Source organism: Homo sapiens, chromosome 8 (assembly GCF_000001405.40).
Source record: "Homo sapiens chromosome 8, GRCh38.p14 Primary Assembly".
Lineage (NCBI taxonomy): Eukaryota > Metazoa > Chordata > Mammalia > Primates > Hominidae > Homo > Homo sapiens.
The window spans coordinates 80475002-80491574 of NC_000008.11; the positions used below are offsets into that span (position 1 = coordinate 80475002).

The following is a 16573-nucleotide window of genomic DNA, read 5'->3' on the forward strand; positions in this document are numbered from 1 at the left end:
TAAAAATATACTAACAATTGGAAAATTTACATTTTTCTTTGATTTCCATTCTACTGCCCCACAACATTTCATAATATATTTCTACTCAGAAGTCTATTATCAATGTACTTAAATTTAATTAAAAAAATTTTTGGGCTGGGCAGGGTGGCTCATGTCTGTAATCCCAGCACTTTGGGAGGCCAAGGCAGGCGGATCATCCGAGGTCAAGAGTTTGAGACCAGCCTGGCCAGCATGGTGAAACCCTGTCTCTACTAAAAATACAAAAATTAGCCTGGTGTGGTGGTGAGCACCTATAATCCCTGCTATTCGGGAGGCTGAGACAGGAGATTCACTAGAACCTGGGAGGCGGAGGTTGCAGTGAGCCGAGATCATGCCACTGCACTCCAGCTGGGCAACAAAGAGCGCAACTCTGTCTCAAAAAAAAAAAAAAAAAAAAAAAAAAAAAAAAAAAAATTCTGGCCAGGTGTGTGGCTCAAGCCTGTAATCCCAACACTTTGGCAGGCTGAGGCGGGAGGATCCCTTGAGCCCAAGAGTTTGAGAACAGCCTGAGCAACATACTGACACCTTGTCTCCTCAAAAATTTTTTAAAAATTAGCCAGCATTGGTGGCACCCACCTGTAGTCCCAGCTACTTGGTAGGGTGAGGTAGGAGGATTGTTTGAGCCTGGGAATTGAGGCTGCAGTGAGCCATGATCATGCCACTGCACTCCAGCCTGGGTGACATAGTGAGACCTTGTCAAAAAAAAAAAAAAGAAAAAGAAAATTATGACTATAAATGTTAAAAAAATATCTTGAACTGAGTTATCATTATAATTGTTAGGGCATGTTTGATCAAAACAACATAAATATATGAATAAATACTGATATTAAACATAAGATATACACATTTATCAGAAATGCATTTCACAGCTGATTTTTTTCCAACTAATGATTGTGCCAAAGATGTGTTTGCTAGAGTAAAACAGGTCTTGTCATGTATTTTATTCCCTTTTTTTCTTTTCTTTTGCGTATGTGTTAACATTTGTTCACAAAAAATTATGCACGACAAGAATAGAAGGGGTTTTGCTTGAGCTATGTCACAAAATTTTTAAACTCCTTTCAAGCTATGTGCAAATAAAACCCTTCAAAATCATTTTTAATGATCAACTGACACTTCAATAAGGTCCTTCTTCAGTTAGTTGAAAGTAAAAGCTGGAAACCATAAGAGTTGCAAAAGTGTTGCTACCAAGTAATTACGGACATTTAGTTTCTCTACTTGTGCCTGGTGTTCCTTTTCCATCCTGGGACAATGTATCACAGTAAGACTAGGGATGGCATGCCTATATGGTGAAAGCATGACTTTTTTGGTGAAATGGGAGAAGAGTGATTGTGAAAGGAGAAGTGGCAAAGAAAAAACAGCTTGACAGGAGCATTTTCCAACAGTTTAGTTTTAAGGGAAAAAGGCCATTTGCAAGGGGAAAGCCTGAAAATCAATTCTCTTAAAAACAGTTCATGTGCTCACACACTCCTTGGAAACTCTTTGTGTACCTCCAGGGCTAAGCGTACCCCAGTTTGAAAAACACTGGACTAGACCTGAAAGTATTAGAGCTTTCTTTGAAGTTACATTCCAATCCTGGGATGTGCTCTCAGTCTTAAACAGATGACAGTCACCCCAATCACATCTTTGGGATGGCAGATTTCTTTTGTAAAGACTAATCTCATTATTTATGCTGATTCTATTGTCACTAGCTTTCAAAGTGTGGTATTTTCTCATCTGGACATTATCTCCAAGTTCTGGGGGATTGAAGTCACCCTATTTGAACCTAAAGCCTCCTATGAAGTTTTTGCATAAAGTTGTGTAGAAAGCCCTGTTTACAGTATTTCTTCATAGTACTATACCATTATGGCCTTGGCATCTTTCGGTCTTCCACATTTTCTCACTTGATCCTTCTGAAGGTAACTGGTTTGCACTGTAAACTTGTAAGAAGTGGATTAGTGTGAAATCTGTGGCTACCGAACAGAGTCGAGTTAATTGATTTACCAGAGAAATGAGTCTGTGAAACAAATAGCATCTGTGAAGTAAACATTTGGGATATGTCTCCTAATGAACAGAAATCAGTAATGTGGTTTTATTAATAATAATTACTTTCAAATAATAAATATCAACCTGTATTCTATTGTTCCCATTCTTTGCAGCCCATAACAAAATTAAATTTAAATCCAAACAGACTGTAAAAAGAATCTATTTTGGCCAGGCGCAGTGGCTTGCGCCTGTAATCCCAGCACTTTGCGAGGCCAAGGTGGGTGGACCCCTTGAGGTCAGGAGTTCAAGACCAGCCGGGCCAACATGGTGAAACCCCATCTCTACTAAAAACACAAAAACTAGCCGGAGGTGGGGGCACACACCTGTAATCCCAGCTACTCAGAAGGCTGAGGCAGGAGAGTTGTTTGAACCCAGGAGGCAGAAGTTGCAGTGAGCCAAGACTGCGCCACTGCACTCCAGCCTGGGTGACAGAGCGAGACTCTTATCTCAAAATAAATAAATAAAAATAAAAATACAATGCAAATATTATCAACATTTAAAATCTACTACGTTTCTGTTCTACTGGCTTATTCAGCAAAATTCTGATCTGTTTTAGTCTTTTATTGGAAGTTCAAGGTTCTTGGTACCTATAGTGCCCACAAATTTGCAGATTTATACATTTATTCATTCAACAAATCTTTACTGATTGTCCACTATGTCACAGTCACTGTTTCCAACTTCTGAAAACACAATATTGAGCAAAACCAGCAATGGACCCTGCCCTCACAGAATTTTCAGTTTAATGCAATAATCAATGCCCTAAGAAATAATTATAAAAGTTTAAAAACTGCAATTGTGACAAGGGCTGGGAGGGAGAGTTAGAAGAATGCTAGGATAATCTGTATTAGGATATTTGAATATCTGGGGCTGTGGGTGGTCAGAGAAAGCTGCCCTAAGAAAGTGATCTAAGGATGAATGTGTGTCAATTAGGAGAAGGGAGGGAAGAGTTTTAAAGCAGGGAACAACGGCTTGTGCAAAGGCCAGATAGTTCTCAAAGCAAATGTGAAGGAGGGAAGGAGGAGAGTGTTGGAGAGATGAGGCTGGAGCAGTACATGGCCACCAAACCTTGCTGGGCTTGGTAGCCATTTTAGAAGTGTTTTGATATGTGTAATAGACCAACAGAAAATAACTGAAACTTTGAAGGGTTTTAGGCATGAAGGGATCAAGAATCATCAGTGTGGGTAGGGTGATAGGATCAGATTTGCATTTTGAAAAGATTACTGACTTCTGTAGAGAATGGATAGGAGGGCACGGCCAGAATGTATGAGTTATTGTGACAGATGCTTCTCTGAAAATATGCATGTAAATTTAAGCTCTTGTAAAACAAATAATGTTTTAAAGAGATTGAAATTTTCTAAGAAAAGAAATACCATGGTTTTTAATCTTTTGAATCTTTTGTGTTTGAGGGGCAGGCCAAAATTGGTTCATAAGTGGAGAAAAAGAATGAACAGTACTTATCCTTCAAAATGCTAGGGAAAACCATGACATTGATTTTGTTTGTTTGAGACAAGGTCTTGCTCTGTTGCCCAGGCTGGAGGGCAGCCATGTGACCATAGCTCACTGCAGCCTCAAACTCCTGGGTTCAAGGGATCCTCCCATCTCTACCTCCCAAGTAGCTGGAACTACAGGTGGGAGCCACCAGACCCAGCTAATTTTTTTATTTTTTGCAACCTCTACCTCCCAGGTTCCAGTGATTCTTGTGCCTCAGCCTCTTGAGTAGCTGGGTTTATAGGCATGCGCCACCACACCTAATTTTTGTATTTTTAATAGAGATGGGGTTTCGCTCTGTTGGCCGGGCTGGTCTGGAACTCCTGACCTCAGGTAATCCGTCCACCTCAGCCTCCCAAAGTGCTAGGATTACAGGCGTGAGCCACCACGCCCAGACAAGCTTGATCTTTTCAATCAAAAGATTGATCTTTTGGCTGGGCGTGGTGGCTCACGCCTGTAATCCCAGCACTTTGGGAGGCCGAGGTGGGCAGATCACGAGGTCAGGAGATCGAGACCACGATGAAACCCCGTCTCTACTAAAAATACAAAAAAAAAATTAGCCGGGCATGGTGGCAGGTGCCTGTAGTCCCAGCTACTCTGGAGGCTGAGGCAGGAGAATGGCGTGAACCCAGGAGGCAGGGCTTGCAGTGAGCTGAGACTGCACCACTGCACTCCAGCCTGGGTGACAGAAAAGATTGATCTTTTGACTGGGTGCGGTGACTCACATCTGCAATCCCAGCACTTTGGGAGGCTGAGGGCGGGTGGATCACCCGAGGTCAGGAGTTCGAGGCCAGCCTCGCCAACATGGTAAAACCCGATCTCTACCAAAATACAAAAATTAGCTGGGCATGGTAGCACGCACTTGTAATCCCAGCTACTCGGGAGGCTGAGGCAGGAGGATTACTTGAACCTGGGAGGTGGAGGTTGCAGTGAGCTGAGATTATGCCATTGCACTCTGACCCGGGTGGCAAAGCGAGACTCTTTAAGATTAATCTTTTAATGGCTGGCCAATAATTTATTATAGGAATGTACCATGATGCATATAAATAGTATAGAATGGAATAGAATAAATGGAAGGTCAAGGGATCTTCTTGATCCTGTTTTTTAGGCTTGTAAACAGTGCTGCAATAAACATGTTTGCATGGACATCTTAATACATCTATCTAGGATAAATTCTTAGTGCTGAAATTGCTGGGTAAAAAATTATATACACATTTTATATGTTGATACATACAAGCAACCTAGCAGAAAACTTGTTCCTATCTATATTCCCAGTATGCTCATTTTACTATACCTTGAATGGGTTAAAAAAACTACTTATCAATGATGACTTTTATGCAGATTTCTGATCACTGGCCAAGACTGCACATCTTTTTGAATGTTTTCTAGTCACTTGTCTTAAATCTGTTTGGACTGCTATAACAAAATAACACAAACAGTAGTTTAAAAACAACAGAAATGTATTTCTCAGTTCTGGAAGCTGGGAAGTCCAAGATGAAGGGACAAGCAGATTCAGTGTCTGGAAGAACCCTGTTCCTCATAGACAGCACCTTGTCACTGCACATAGTGGAAGGATAAACAAGCTCTTCCACAAGCCTCTTTTATAAGGGCTCTACTCCCATTTGTGTGGACTCTGTCCTCATGACCTAATCACCTCAAAGGCCCCACTTTTTTTTTTTTTTTTTTTTTGAGACAGAGTCTCGCTCTGTCTCCCAGGCTGGAGTGCAGTGGCACGATCTTGGCTCACTGCAACCTCTGCTCCCAGGTTCAAGTGATTCTTTTGCCTCAGCTTCCTGAGTAGCTGGGATTACAGGTCTGCGCCACGATGCCTGGCTAGTTTTTGTGTTTTTAGTAGAGATGGGGTTTCACCATGTTGGTCAGGCTGGTCTTGAACTCCTGACCCTTTGATCGGCCCACCGTGGCCTCCCAAAATGCTGGGATTACAGGAATGAACCACTGCATCCGGCCCGGCCCCACTTCTTAATACCATTACCATGGGGCTTAGGTTTCAGCATATACATTCTGGGGAGAACACAAATGCTCAGGCCATGGCACTTGTGTTTCAGATGGTAGCACTTTGTATATGATTTTTTAATACATGGCCTCCGCACATTTTTTCTTCCACTATATTTGAGTTTTTAAAATTGATTAGGCCTCTGTGTATATCAGTGATATTAAGCCTTTGTCTATCACATATGTCACAGATTTCTTTTTCCTAGTTCACTTTAAAAATCCTTTGTTTATAAAATGTTCATTCCCTTTGCCACAGATTCCCCTTTTTAGAATTCACCCTAACGAAGTAGTATTTACAAAGTTTTACTTTCAAGTATGTTCACTGAAGAACTGTTTATAATGGTAAAAAAAAGAAAAACCCACAAAGCCCACCTGTAAACAATGAAATGTTTAACAGTGGAACACTGGTTAAATCATTTTTAAATTTTTATTTTTTATTTTTTGAGACAAGAGTCTTGCTCTGTTGCCCAAGCTGGAGTGCAGTGGTGCCGATCTCAGCTCACTGCAACCTCCCCATCCCGGGTTCAAGCGATTCTCCTGCCTCAGCCTCCCAAGTAGCTAGGGCTACAGGTGCACGCCACCACACCCAGCTAATTTTTGTATTTTTAGTAAAGACAGGGTTTTACCATGTTGCCCAGGCTGGTCTGAAACTCCTGACCTCAGGTGATATGCCCGCCTTGGCCTCCCAAGGTGGGATTACAGGCATGAGCCACTATGCCCGGCTAGTTAAATCAATGATGATATATCCATAGTCATTGAAATGATACAAAAAATATTTCATTATATTAAAACATATTATTAACTAAAAGCACAAATATCTAGGATCTATAACTTATAAACACCAAAAAAATTTTTTTTTTAGCTAGGCACAGAGAAAAAGGAGACTGTATTTATACAACAGTGGTTAATTCTGGGTACTAGAAATAGGGGTGATCCTTTTTTTCTTTTCCTCAATGAGATAATTGAACAAGAAAATTTAAAATTTATTGTAGCTTATAGTTATGCAGATATATAGTAGCCAACAGTGCCTTAGACTGCAGGGCATTATTCCTGTCTGTAATCTTACAAACTTAACTTCTGCCTCATTCAGTAACCTCAAGTAAGTTGTTTAGCCTTTTTGCACATGGGTCTCCTCATCTGTTAAACGATGATAATAATACCTATCATGAATTAACTCAGGGAGGTTCTGTAAACCCAATGTTTGTAATTCACTATAAACTACATAGAAAATGGCACTAATACTATTTATATCTAACTATGATTATTACTATTTTTAACATAAAGGCAATGGCAACATTAACTCACTACCTTTATTTTTTATTATTTTTCTGAGACACAGTTTCACTCATCACTCAGGCTGGAGTACAGTGGTGCAGTCTCAGCTCACTGCAACCTCCTTCTCCCGGGTTCAAGTGATTCTCCTGCCTCAGCCTCCCAAGTAGCTAGGATTACAAGCGCCTGCCACCACGCCTGGTTAATTTTTGTATTTTTAGTAGAGATGAGTTTTTTTTTTTTTTTTTTTTTTTGAGATGGAGTTTCACTCTTGTTGCCCAGGCTGGAGTGCAATGGCTCAATCTTGGCTAACTGCAACCTCTGCTTCCCAGGTTCAAGTGAGTCTTCTGCCTCAGCCTCCCGAGTAAATGGGATTACAGGCACACGCCACCATGCCCGGCTAATTTTGTATTTTTAGTAGAGATGGGGTTTCACTATGTTGGCCAGGCTGGTCTTGAACTCCCGACCTCAGGTGATGCCACCCGCCTCGGCCTCCCGAAGTGCTGGGATTACAGGTGTGAGCCACCATGCCTGGTCACTCAGTACCTTTAAGAAGAATAGTTTTGCACTAAGCCAAAAAAAAAAAAAAAAAGGAAAAGGAAACAAAGAAAAAGTTGCCTACCAAAATTGACTGCAAGGGAAGATATAATAAATTATTCAACAAACACTTACTACTTGCCTACTATGTACTGGTGGGGGTGGGATGGAGGTATAAGACAGTTCCTGTTCTCATGTGCTTCATTTTGGTGGATAACTCATGTCAATCCCACAGACAGAAAGGCTACTGTCCCTAGAGCCTAAAGAGGCAAAGTACCTCTACCAAGGCAGTGAACGACAGTCAAGTTTGACCCTCAAAGATCAGCTGGGCCAGGTATAGAAGGTAAGCCCCATCACAGAGATATGGTGAGCCAGTAACAAGTGTAATCTACAGGAGTTTTACGTGGGGTAAGGTGAAATTAGGGGACAAATTGGTTGGGGATGCCCCATTCTTAAGGGGTTCCCCTGGTAAGCATAAGGGGGAATTCCCTTGAATATGGTAGTACCCTAACAATAAGTATAGGGGTTAGAGGGGAGAACACATCCCTGCTTGCTAGTAGGAGACTGGAAGGGCTTGGGGAATTCCTAAAAACTCCATTTACAGTGTAGGAGATCCCCTTCTGTTACTCAAAGTTCCCTTCTTACAGAGTATTCTGAGACATTTGTGATTAGTATCCCCTTGAGCTTTGTTTCTAATTTCCACCTTCTTTCAGGGCTCAGAGGAAGAAAACTGAATACATATACATACACACACACACACACACACACACACACACACACACATATATATAATGATAAATATATAAATACACAAGCATGCATACTCAATCACACACAAACACACACACATCACCCTGATACTGTTAGTTCAGTGGTCCTAGAATTTAAGTCATTTATTTGTACCACTTGACTCTAGTGTCATTCATTCCTAATTAGTCCATGTTTAAACATAACTTCAGATAGAAGACAATGAGGATTTTATAAAACATAAGGTAAGATATATGTCTGAGAAAAAGGCAGGTCTGACACAATTATGGATTTAAACGTTTTTGGTTGATTCTGGCACTATTAGCAAAAATAATACATAAATTTATATAGTGCCTACTATGTAGTAGGATACGAGATAAGAAGTAGCAAATATTTGAATTTAACAGTTTTTGAATGAAAACAAGCTTTAGAGCTGAAATAAAATTTTTTTTTTTTTCAGATGGAATCTCGCTCTGTCGCCCAGGCTGGAGTGCAATGGCATGATCTCAGCTCACTGCAACCTCCGCCTCTCTGGTTCAAGTGATTCTTCTACCTCAGCCTCCTGAGTAGCTGGGATTATAGGCGAGCGCCACCACACCTGGCTAATTTTTTGAATTTTTAGTAGAGACGGGGTTTCACCATGTTGGTCAGGCTGGTCTTGAACTCCAGACCTCATGATCCGCCCGTCTCGGCCCCCAAAGTGCTGGGATTACAGGCGTGAGCCACCGTGCCCAGCAAAATAAAAATTTTTAAGTCCATTTTCATTTCCCATCACCTTGATCCTAGATAAGTAATTAACTTCAGTAACTCTTCCCTCTTTTTATGGGGGTGGAGGCTGTGGTGATTAACATATAATAAATGTATTTATTTTCAAAATGCCTAGAATGAAAAAAAAACACGCATTAAAAACAGAGCACAAGTATTATTATGGCATTCTTCCATATGTGGCACATATTATACAGCCTCACTTGGCAGAGTTCTCTTATTTCTTAAGGGTACGAATTAGGTCAAGATCAGACTCCACTGTCTTAAGCTTCCCAGCAACTAAAACAAAGCAGGACAAAACAAACAAACAAACAAACAAAAACACCCTACAACTGTACCCACCTGAAGAACTATATCAGAATTTCAAGCTCTTGGTCACTGGTGGCCAGGTGACAATATGTTTATTACCGGAAAAATAACTCAAAGCCAAAATCCTTTTGTGGCAGGGTAGTACTGTCATTCTTTACATTAAAATTACATGTAATCTACAAGATAAAACCAATGTTTTTTGTTTGATATACAACACTGCTCATCAACAGGTACTAAAAATTACAATGAATGAAGTGAATGTTGCTTTGAATAAATGTATACAATTAATATGAGTCTGGATGTGGATTCATGTTAGTCCATTTAAAAAATATTAAGAAAAACGGTCTTTTATAATGTTTGAGAAGACTTGTTTATTTAAATATTTATTTATTTTTAAAAGACTAGTCAAGTGGAAGTGGGGAAAGAGTGGTACAACGGGCAACCAACTGTGAATAACCAATTGAGACAATTCACTACCTTGGGACCAGCCAAAGCTTGCTTTTTAAAGTAACCTTGAAATACATACCATATTCCATATTATACAAAGCTTTACATATTGCTCTTAGTTTTGAAATAGAAAAAGAACTTTTGAAGAGAATAAGAATCATAAAACTAGGTCTAAAAATTGTAACACCTGTTCTTCATAAAACATATATAACTTTATTTACATTAATACATTATTTAGGAGGTTCAAGCCTTTAACATAACCCTTCCCATTAATCTATAACTGTAAAGAGTTCATGTATATTTCTCATTTTCTGCACATATGTATTAATGTAAAAAATTTGTCCTGCCGTATTTTTTTTAGTCAACAATTATCTGGAGCATTTTATCAGTTCGTGATTCAACTTCTAATACATATGTCGCTTAAGAGTAAAAAGCCCCTCCATAACTTGAAAACATCTTTTTTTTCTTAACCTGAAATAGGCTTAAATTCTCACATTGTCAGATGAGTCTTAACACTTTAGTATTTGCTAAATTTAGCATATTAAAAATTTTTAAAAGGAGTATAAGGGCCCTAAATTGGAAAAAAAAACTCTACTACGATCATAACTGTGGGATTTCATTTCCAGTTCATTCTGTCAGAATCAATCTAAAGTCCATGTAATGTAAACAGTTCGAAAAAAGTCTTAAAAATGAATTGTTGACTTTAAACACACAATCTTCGGAGCCGCTCACAACGTCCGTAGAAGCAGACTCCTCCCCGCTCCTGGGGAAAACCCTGCCTAATATTTATAACGTTATGACATACTGTAATACTCACAAGGTGGTTGTAGAAGTATAAACACGACTGGAGTTATCTGATTGGCTGCTGGTGATGTAACACCCATGTCAATACTTCCCAGTGAACGCACGTGTTCGACCTTTTATTTAAATTTCCATTTCATCACAGCAATAAGACACTCGGGGCGGTGCATTTTCTGTGAAATGACTACTGTCCGGGGCCCGAGGTGCTGCCTCGCACAATGCATCAAAGGAGGTTGTGTCCGTGGTCGTAACCTCTTCGCGTGAAAGGCACCGCCTGGTCCAGTCTTTGTGAAGGAACAAAATAAGTTCACTTCCTTGGGCACCGCCACCCACCCTCAGCAAATGACAAGGCTGGAGCGCAGCTCCCACCGCACAGTTATTTGCAAAGTCCCAGGTGAACTCGTGGCGAGAGAAGGAAAATGCGCGTCCCGGGCGCGGGTAGGTGCGTGTGGGCAGCGGGGAGGCGGCCAGACCCTGACACTCGCCAGCTGTTTGTCCTCCGCGTAGCCCGGCCCCGGCCGCACACGCCCGCCCCCTCCCTGAGACCCCCAGCCCGCCGCCCGGCCTTTTGTCCCCAACCCCTCGGCCGACTTCCTTCCCCGCGGCCGCACCCCCGCCCCCAGGCCGGAGGCGCAGCCCAGCCCCTTTCCCGGTCCCCTGGCGCCCCCACCCCACCCCAGCCCAGCCCCAAGCCCAGCCCCCCTCCCCCAGCCCGGCCCCCACCCTTTCCCCCTCCAGCGGTTACTGCTACCCCGGTGCATTGTGGGCGCACGGTCCGTTGTTCATTTGCCATTCGACCTCCGCCAGGGCCTGGTCGGACGGAAACGCTCCGCCGGCTTTATTGTCGCTTCGTTATGTGGCGGAGCCGAGCAGTTTAGCGTGCCTCTCACCCTCAGCGCCTGCGAAGCCGGCGGCGGCGTCGGGACTCCTCGGCGCGCGGAGGAAGGATATCTGTGTGGAGGATCGGTGTGTGCGCGCGCGGCTTTAAAGAGGGGGCAGCGGAGGGTCTCCCCGCACTCCGCTGCTCAACTTCGAAGGCCTCGCTCGCTGCAGGCTCGCTCCTCACCTCTCCGCCGCCCGCCCCCTTCTCCGCGCGGGACGCTGCCCGGAGCGCGGCGGGGCGGGGGTGGAGGACGAGAGAGCGGTCGGAGGCGTCGGCCCGGCAGCGGCAGCGGCAGCGGACGCGTGCAGCAGACCCGGGAGCGAGCGCGAGCCGGGCTGCCGGGCGAGAGGGCGAGGCCGAGCCCCGCGAGACCGGAACGCCGGGGGCGGGGGCGAGACAGAGGGGGAGCCGCGGGGAGCGCGCGGGACGCGGCCCGAGGCCGTGCGCGAGCCGGGGCACCGGGCGGCGGCGGCGGCGGCGCGCGCCATGTCGTTCAGTGAAATGAACCGCAGGACGCTGGCGTTCCGAGGAGGCGGGTTGGTCACCGCTAGCGGCGGCGGCTCCACGAACAATAACGCTGGCGGGGAGGCCTCAGCTTGGCCTCCGCAGCCCCAGCCGAGACAGCCCCCGCCGCCAGCGCCGCCCGCGCTTCAGCCGCCTAATGGGCGGGGGGCCGACGAGGAAGTGGAATTGGAGGGCCTGGAGCCCCAAGACCTGGAGGCCTCCGCCGGGCCGGCCGCCGGCGCCGCCGAGGAAGCCAAGGAGTTGCTGCTCCCCCAAGACGCGGGCGGCCCCACCTCGCTTGGCGGTGGCGCGGGGGGCCCCCTGCTAGCGGAAAGGAACCGTCGGACTCTGGCCTTCCGAGGCGGCGGCGGCGGGGGTCTCGGCAACAATGGCAGTAGCCGCGGCCGCCCCGAGACCTCGGTGTGGCCCTTGAGGCATTTCAATGGGCGAGGGCCGGCGACTGTGGATCTGGAGCTGGACGCGCTGGAGGGGAAGGAGTTGATGCAGGACGGCGCGTCCCTGAGCGACAGCACCGAGGACGAGGAGGAGGGGGCGAGCCTGGGCGACGGCAGCGGGGCGGAAGGCGGCAGCTGCAGCAGCAGCAGGCGGTCGGGCGGCGATGGCGGGGACGAAGTGGAGGGCAGCGGTGTGGGAGCTGGCGAAGGAGAGACTGTCCAGCACTTCCCGCTCGCGCGGCCCAAGTCTCTAATGCAGAAGCTCCAATGCTCCTTCCAGACCTCCTGGCTCAAGGACTTTCCCTGGCTGCGCTATTCCAAGGATACTGGTCTTATGTCTTGCGGCTGGTGCCAAAAGACCCCTGCAGATGGGGGAAGCGTGGACCTTCCCCCAGTGGGGCATGATGAGCTTTCGCGAGGGACCCGCAACTACAAGAAAACCCTCCTCCTGAGGCACCACGTCTCTACCGAGCACAAACTCCACGAAGCCAACGCCCAGGTACAGTATATCCTGCTCCTACTTTTTTGAGATCTTTTAGGGAAAGGTTTATCAGCACTCCCTTCACCCCCACCCACCCCCGAAAAAAAACCTCAAAACCATTTTCCTGGGTGAAGACATCGTTCCAGTTGAGAGGTGCGGGAAGCTTAGGCGTGGGGGTTTAGAAAGCCTGGGAACAAGTTTTATAAAAGTTCTGTATGTGTTGTGGGGGGAAGGGGATGGAATGACAATTGTCGTGGCGCTGGATTTTCTTTTTTATGACTCATTTCTTATCAGATTGAATCAAAAAGAAAGTGAGGTTGAAGGTTTTAACCTAAAAGGCTGACTTTGCGGTAAAAAAATTTTATTAGCTGTGATTTTAGAGAAGCTGGTCTATGCTCACAGACGTTTAGTGTGCTGGTCGAAGTCAAATCGGGCAACTCTTTGAAGAATGGATTAAACAGTTTACCTTTAAGGCTACCCCTTTCAGGAAAACGTCCAGCCGAAAAAATTCTTTATATGAAATCAAAATAATGTCAAGTATGAGAGCAGTATGTAAATGTAGAGAATGCTATTTGGAATTCCTTGCTCTTGTGAATAATTTTACTAAATTAATCTCTGTTGAACTTTCTTACTACGGCTTGGTTTTGGTAAATTATTGTAGTTTTTACTTGTTTACTTTTACTCAGATTTTTGTGCTGAGATTTCTTTTTGTACTGTTCCTTTTCAGAAAGATTTTTAAATGCAGTTTCCAATAAGTACTTTAAGCTTAGCATTAGAAATGTTTAATGTGTAGTTATTTGTATCAAGTAGTGGATTTGGATTGGTAGGGAATTTATTTACCAAACACCGTGAAAGTGCTTACAAAACAAGTAAGCTGTATTTTAGTTCTTAGTCCTTGTTTTAACATTTCCAGTCTAAAGATAGTAAGCCTTACTATTTTGATAATCTGTGTTCAAGCCAAACAGATGTTGATCAGTCCTCCTTTTTGACTTTAAGGCAACCTGTGGTGGTGGATGGAATTCATTCTTTCGTATTGGTTAGCCAGTCGTTGATTTTATAAAGTTAGCTCTTAGTATTCTGTTTATTGGAATGATTCTGCCGTTCAGCACACTTACCCTGGGGTTAATTAGGCGCACCAGTAACCCCACAGACACAGCACCCATGTTTCTCAGAAGTTAGGGCTTTAACTTTAAAGCACAGGGTGATCCCCCGCCCCCGCCCCAGTGGACAATGTAGTAGGGTTTTTGTTGTTGTTTTGCACACATTTTAGTTGCCTAAGCCCTAGAAGGAAGGTCATTTAAAGATACAAGGCCGAGAAAGGTTAAGTAAATAGTCCTAAGAGTCTGGGGTGACCCAACTGAGACTAGAGCCTGTAAGGAATGTCGTAATGGAAAAAGAATGGATTTGGAGTAAATCTGGGTTCAGATCTCAGCTTTCTGCAATTAACTAGCTTTGTGAGCTTGGGCAATAGAGTGAAATGGAACTAACAGCTCCTGGTTTTCCGTGTGCCAAACACATTTATTCTGCAAAGTATTTATTTTTTGTTCCCATTTTACAGAAGAGGAATCTAAAGCCTTAAAGGGTTAAGTAACATTCCTGAAGTTATGTAGTAAGATGATGGAGTTGCAAGGGACTTGTGAAAATGAAAGTTTAATTTTCCAAATAGGGCTATGTTGGTTACTTAGAAAATTTTAAATGGGATGAATTTTCTTAATCGGCTGTGGACCAATTCCTCTTTATCAGCATAGTCTCTCCCTGTAGGCAAATCTGAATGGGAATGCAAATTATAATTAGCTCCTTTAGTGAACCTGAAATCAGAAGAAGGGGCATTAATTGGATAACCTTAAGGTAGCCTCAGCTTGAGTGTATTCTTCTCCTCTGGGTATGTATCTGCGTCTTGGAATTCCTAGGAAAAACCTTTCTAAACTTGACCCGAACTACGACTCTCTTCCTCATCACTCCTTTAAATTCCCCCATCAATGTAATCTGCAGGCCATCTCCTTTCTTTGGGACATTCTATACAATATACATATATTAAGGGCTACAGTTTTAGTAAGTCCTGTGTGTCCTAAGGTTATATATTGGTCTCCTTGATTGGATTTTGGGTGTTTTCACTTTGAATTGATCTTAATCATTTATTACTTTCATTATAACTAATCTTGAGGGGATATCTTGTTATCAACCCCCCAGGTACCACCTATATAAATACCTGTTTGTCTTAACATGAGTAACATGAGTAACAGGTTCCTGATCTCTTTTGGGCAGAGTGCAATCATTTTGTTTTTCGTTTTTCTTCAGTCTCCAATTACCTATAGGAGGCAGTATAACACAACACGTAATGTAAGCGCCTACTTGGGCTTAAGGTCAGAGGACTTTGCTCTTAAATCTCTACTTTTTAGGCAGGCAAATTAGTTAACTTCTAGTTTCGTTATGTATGCAAAGTATATGTGCCAGCATAAAACCACTTAGTGCCGTTATTTATTATCATTATTACCTTTTTGTTTTGTTTTTTTGAGACAGTGACTCTATTGCCCAGGCTGGAGTGCAGTGGTGAGATAAAGGCTCACTGCAGCCTCCTGGGCTCAGGCATCCTCCCGAGTAGCTAGAACTACAGGTGCGCGCCACCATTCCTGGCTAATTTTTAAGTTTTTTGTTGAAACGGGAGTCTCGCTATGTTGCCCAGGCTGGTCTCAACCTTTTGGGCTCAAGCAATTCTCCCACCTTGACCTCCCCAAAATGCTGGGATTACAGGTGTGAGCCACTGAGCCTGGCCGTTATTACTCATTTTGATCACCAATCAGTTCTCCTTTTTATACCTTCAGAGACTTTGTGGCCATCAGGTTCTTTGAACATTCTGAGCCTATTTCTCATACATGCAGTTTTTCTCAGCTTCACAAAGACACTCTTAATATCTTGTCTTAAAAACATGGAAATGAGAGTTTTAGAATTCTTTAGGCAAGAAATCACTTTGAGTCTAGGAGTACTAAACTCCTATTTTCCCAATTATTTCTCAAAGAGTCCCGTTTCTGAGAGGAATTTGGCCACATCTTAACACAGTCATGTACTGCATGACGTTCTCAAGGATGGACTGCATTTATGATAATGGTCCCATAAGATTATAGCGGAGCTGAAAAATTACTATCGCCTGGTGATAGCGTAAAGTTGTAGCGTACTTTGTTTTGTAATCCCAGCACTTTGCGGGGCCGAGGTGGGTGAATCACTTGAGGTCAGGAGTTCGAGACCAGCCTGACCAACATGGTGAGACCCTGTCTGTACTTAGTGTAGCCTAAGTGTACGGTGCTCATAAAATCTACAGCAGTGTATGGTAATGTCCTAGGCCTTTCATTCAGTCACCACTCACTGACTCACCCAGAGCAGCTTCCAGGTATGCCAGCTCTGTTCATGGTGAGTGCCCTATAAGGTGTGCCATATTTTTACTGTACCTTTTTCATGTTTAGATAGATTAGATACACAAATACTATTGTGTTACAGTTGCCTAAAGTATTCCTTACAGTAACATAGTGTACAGATTTGTAGTCTGGGAGCAATAGGCCCAACCATATAGCCTAGGTGTGTAGTAGGTTATACCATCTAGGTTTGTGTACGCTAAGGCACAGTGACAAAATCGATGCATCTCTCAGATCATATCCCTCTCGTTAAGTGATGCATAACTGTATGTCATGAAAGGTTACTTTCCTCTAAGTAAGAAAAGTATCTTTTTGTTAATCCCTTGGTAGTTACCAAAAAGTTAATCCTTCTGTTAATTGGACCTTGGTTATTGTGGACTGTTCATGGGAAAGTCTTTTAAAA

At 43.7% G+C, this 16573-nt stretch overlaps 1 protein-coding gene and 1 long non-coding RNA gene across 4 annotated transcripts in view, besides 8 other annotated features; one reads left to right on the plus strand and one right to left on the minus strand.

Moving 5' to 3' along the window:
• Positions 1-9244: 9244 nt before the first annotated feature.
• On the minus strand, positions 9245-10552 carry LOC105375921 (uncharacterized). Its single transcript, XR_001745976.1, has 2 exons — positions 10457-10552; positions 9245-9368 (listed from the first exon to the last, which is right to left on the minus strand). It is a non-coding gene; the product is annotated as an uncharacterized LOC105375921 (long non-coding RNA).
• A 39-nt stretch (positions 10553-10591) lies between these two features.
• Positions 10592-16573, plus strand: part of ZBTB10 (zinc finger and BTB domain containing 10) — a 40673-nt gene continuing 34691 nt past the window's right edge. For 2 of the 3 annotated variants that reach the window (NM_001105539.3, NM_023929.5), the window contains exon 1: positions 11225-12781. In NM_001105539.3, coding sequence (NP_001099009.1) covers positions 11810-12781 — 972 coding nt within the window. In that variant the 5' untranslated portion in view covers positions 11225-11809. Of the gene's footprint in view, positions 10879-11224; positions 12782-16573 lie in introns of those variants that run through there. The other variant, NM_001277145.2, reaches the window with a different exon arrangement.
• Positions 10702-10761: an enhancer, noted in NCBI's record as "active region_27568". NCBI's record gives its function as "activates an Ori minimal core promoter by ATAC-STARR-seq in GM12878 lymphoblastoid cells {active_cell/tissue: GM12878}" and the evidence as "EXISTENCE:reporter gene assay evidence [ECO:0000049][PMID:35858748]".
• Positions 10782-10941: an enhancer, noted in NCBI's record as "active region_27569". NCBI's record gives its function as "activates an Ori minimal core promoter by ATAC-STARR-seq in GM12878 lymphoblastoid cells {active_cell/tissue: GM12878}" and the evidence as "EXISTENCE:reporter gene assay evidence [ECO:0000049][PMID:35858748]".
• Positions 10782-11361: a biological region, named in NCBI's record as "H3K27ac hESC enhancer GRCh37_chr8:81398027-81398597".
• Positions 10791-11361: an enhancer, noted in NCBI's record as "H3K27ac hESC enhancer chr8:81398027-81398597 (GRCh37/hg19 assembly coordinates)". NCBI's record gives its function as "activates a minimal SCP1, AML or CMV promoter by ChIP-STARR-seq in primed H9 embryonic stem cells {active_cell/tissue: H9 hESC(primed)}" and the evidence as "EXISTENCE:reporter gene assay evidence [ECO:0000049][PMID:30033119]".
• Positions 11122-11171: a silencer, noted in NCBI's record as "silent region_19322". NCBI's record gives its function as "represses an Ori minimal core promoter by ATAC-STARR-seq in GM12878 lymphoblastoid cells {active_cell/tissue: GM12878}" and the evidence as "EXISTENCE:reporter gene assay evidence [ECO:0000049][PMID:35858748]".
• Positions 11362-11932: an enhancer, noted in NCBI's record as "H3K27ac hESC enhancer chr8:81398598-81399168 (GRCh37/hg19 assembly coordinates)". NCBI's record gives its function as "activates a minimal SCP1, AML or CMV promoter by ChIP-STARR-seq in naive H9 embryonic stem cells {active_cell/tissue: H9 hESC(naive)}" and the evidence as "EXISTENCE:reporter gene assay evidence [ECO:0000049][PMID:30033119]".
• Positions 11632-11841: a silencer, noted in NCBI's record as "silent region_19323". NCBI's record gives its function as "represses an Ori minimal core promoter by ATAC-STARR-seq in GM12878 lymphoblastoid cells {active_cell/tissue: GM12878}" and the evidence as "EXISTENCE:reporter gene assay evidence [ECO:0000049][PMID:35858748]".
• Positions 12012-12091: a silencer, noted in NCBI's record as "silent region_19324". NCBI's record gives its function as "represses an Ori minimal core promoter by ATAC-STARR-seq in GM12878 lymphoblastoid cells {active_cell/tissue: GM12878}" and the evidence as "EXISTENCE:reporter gene assay evidence [ECO:0000049][PMID:35858748]".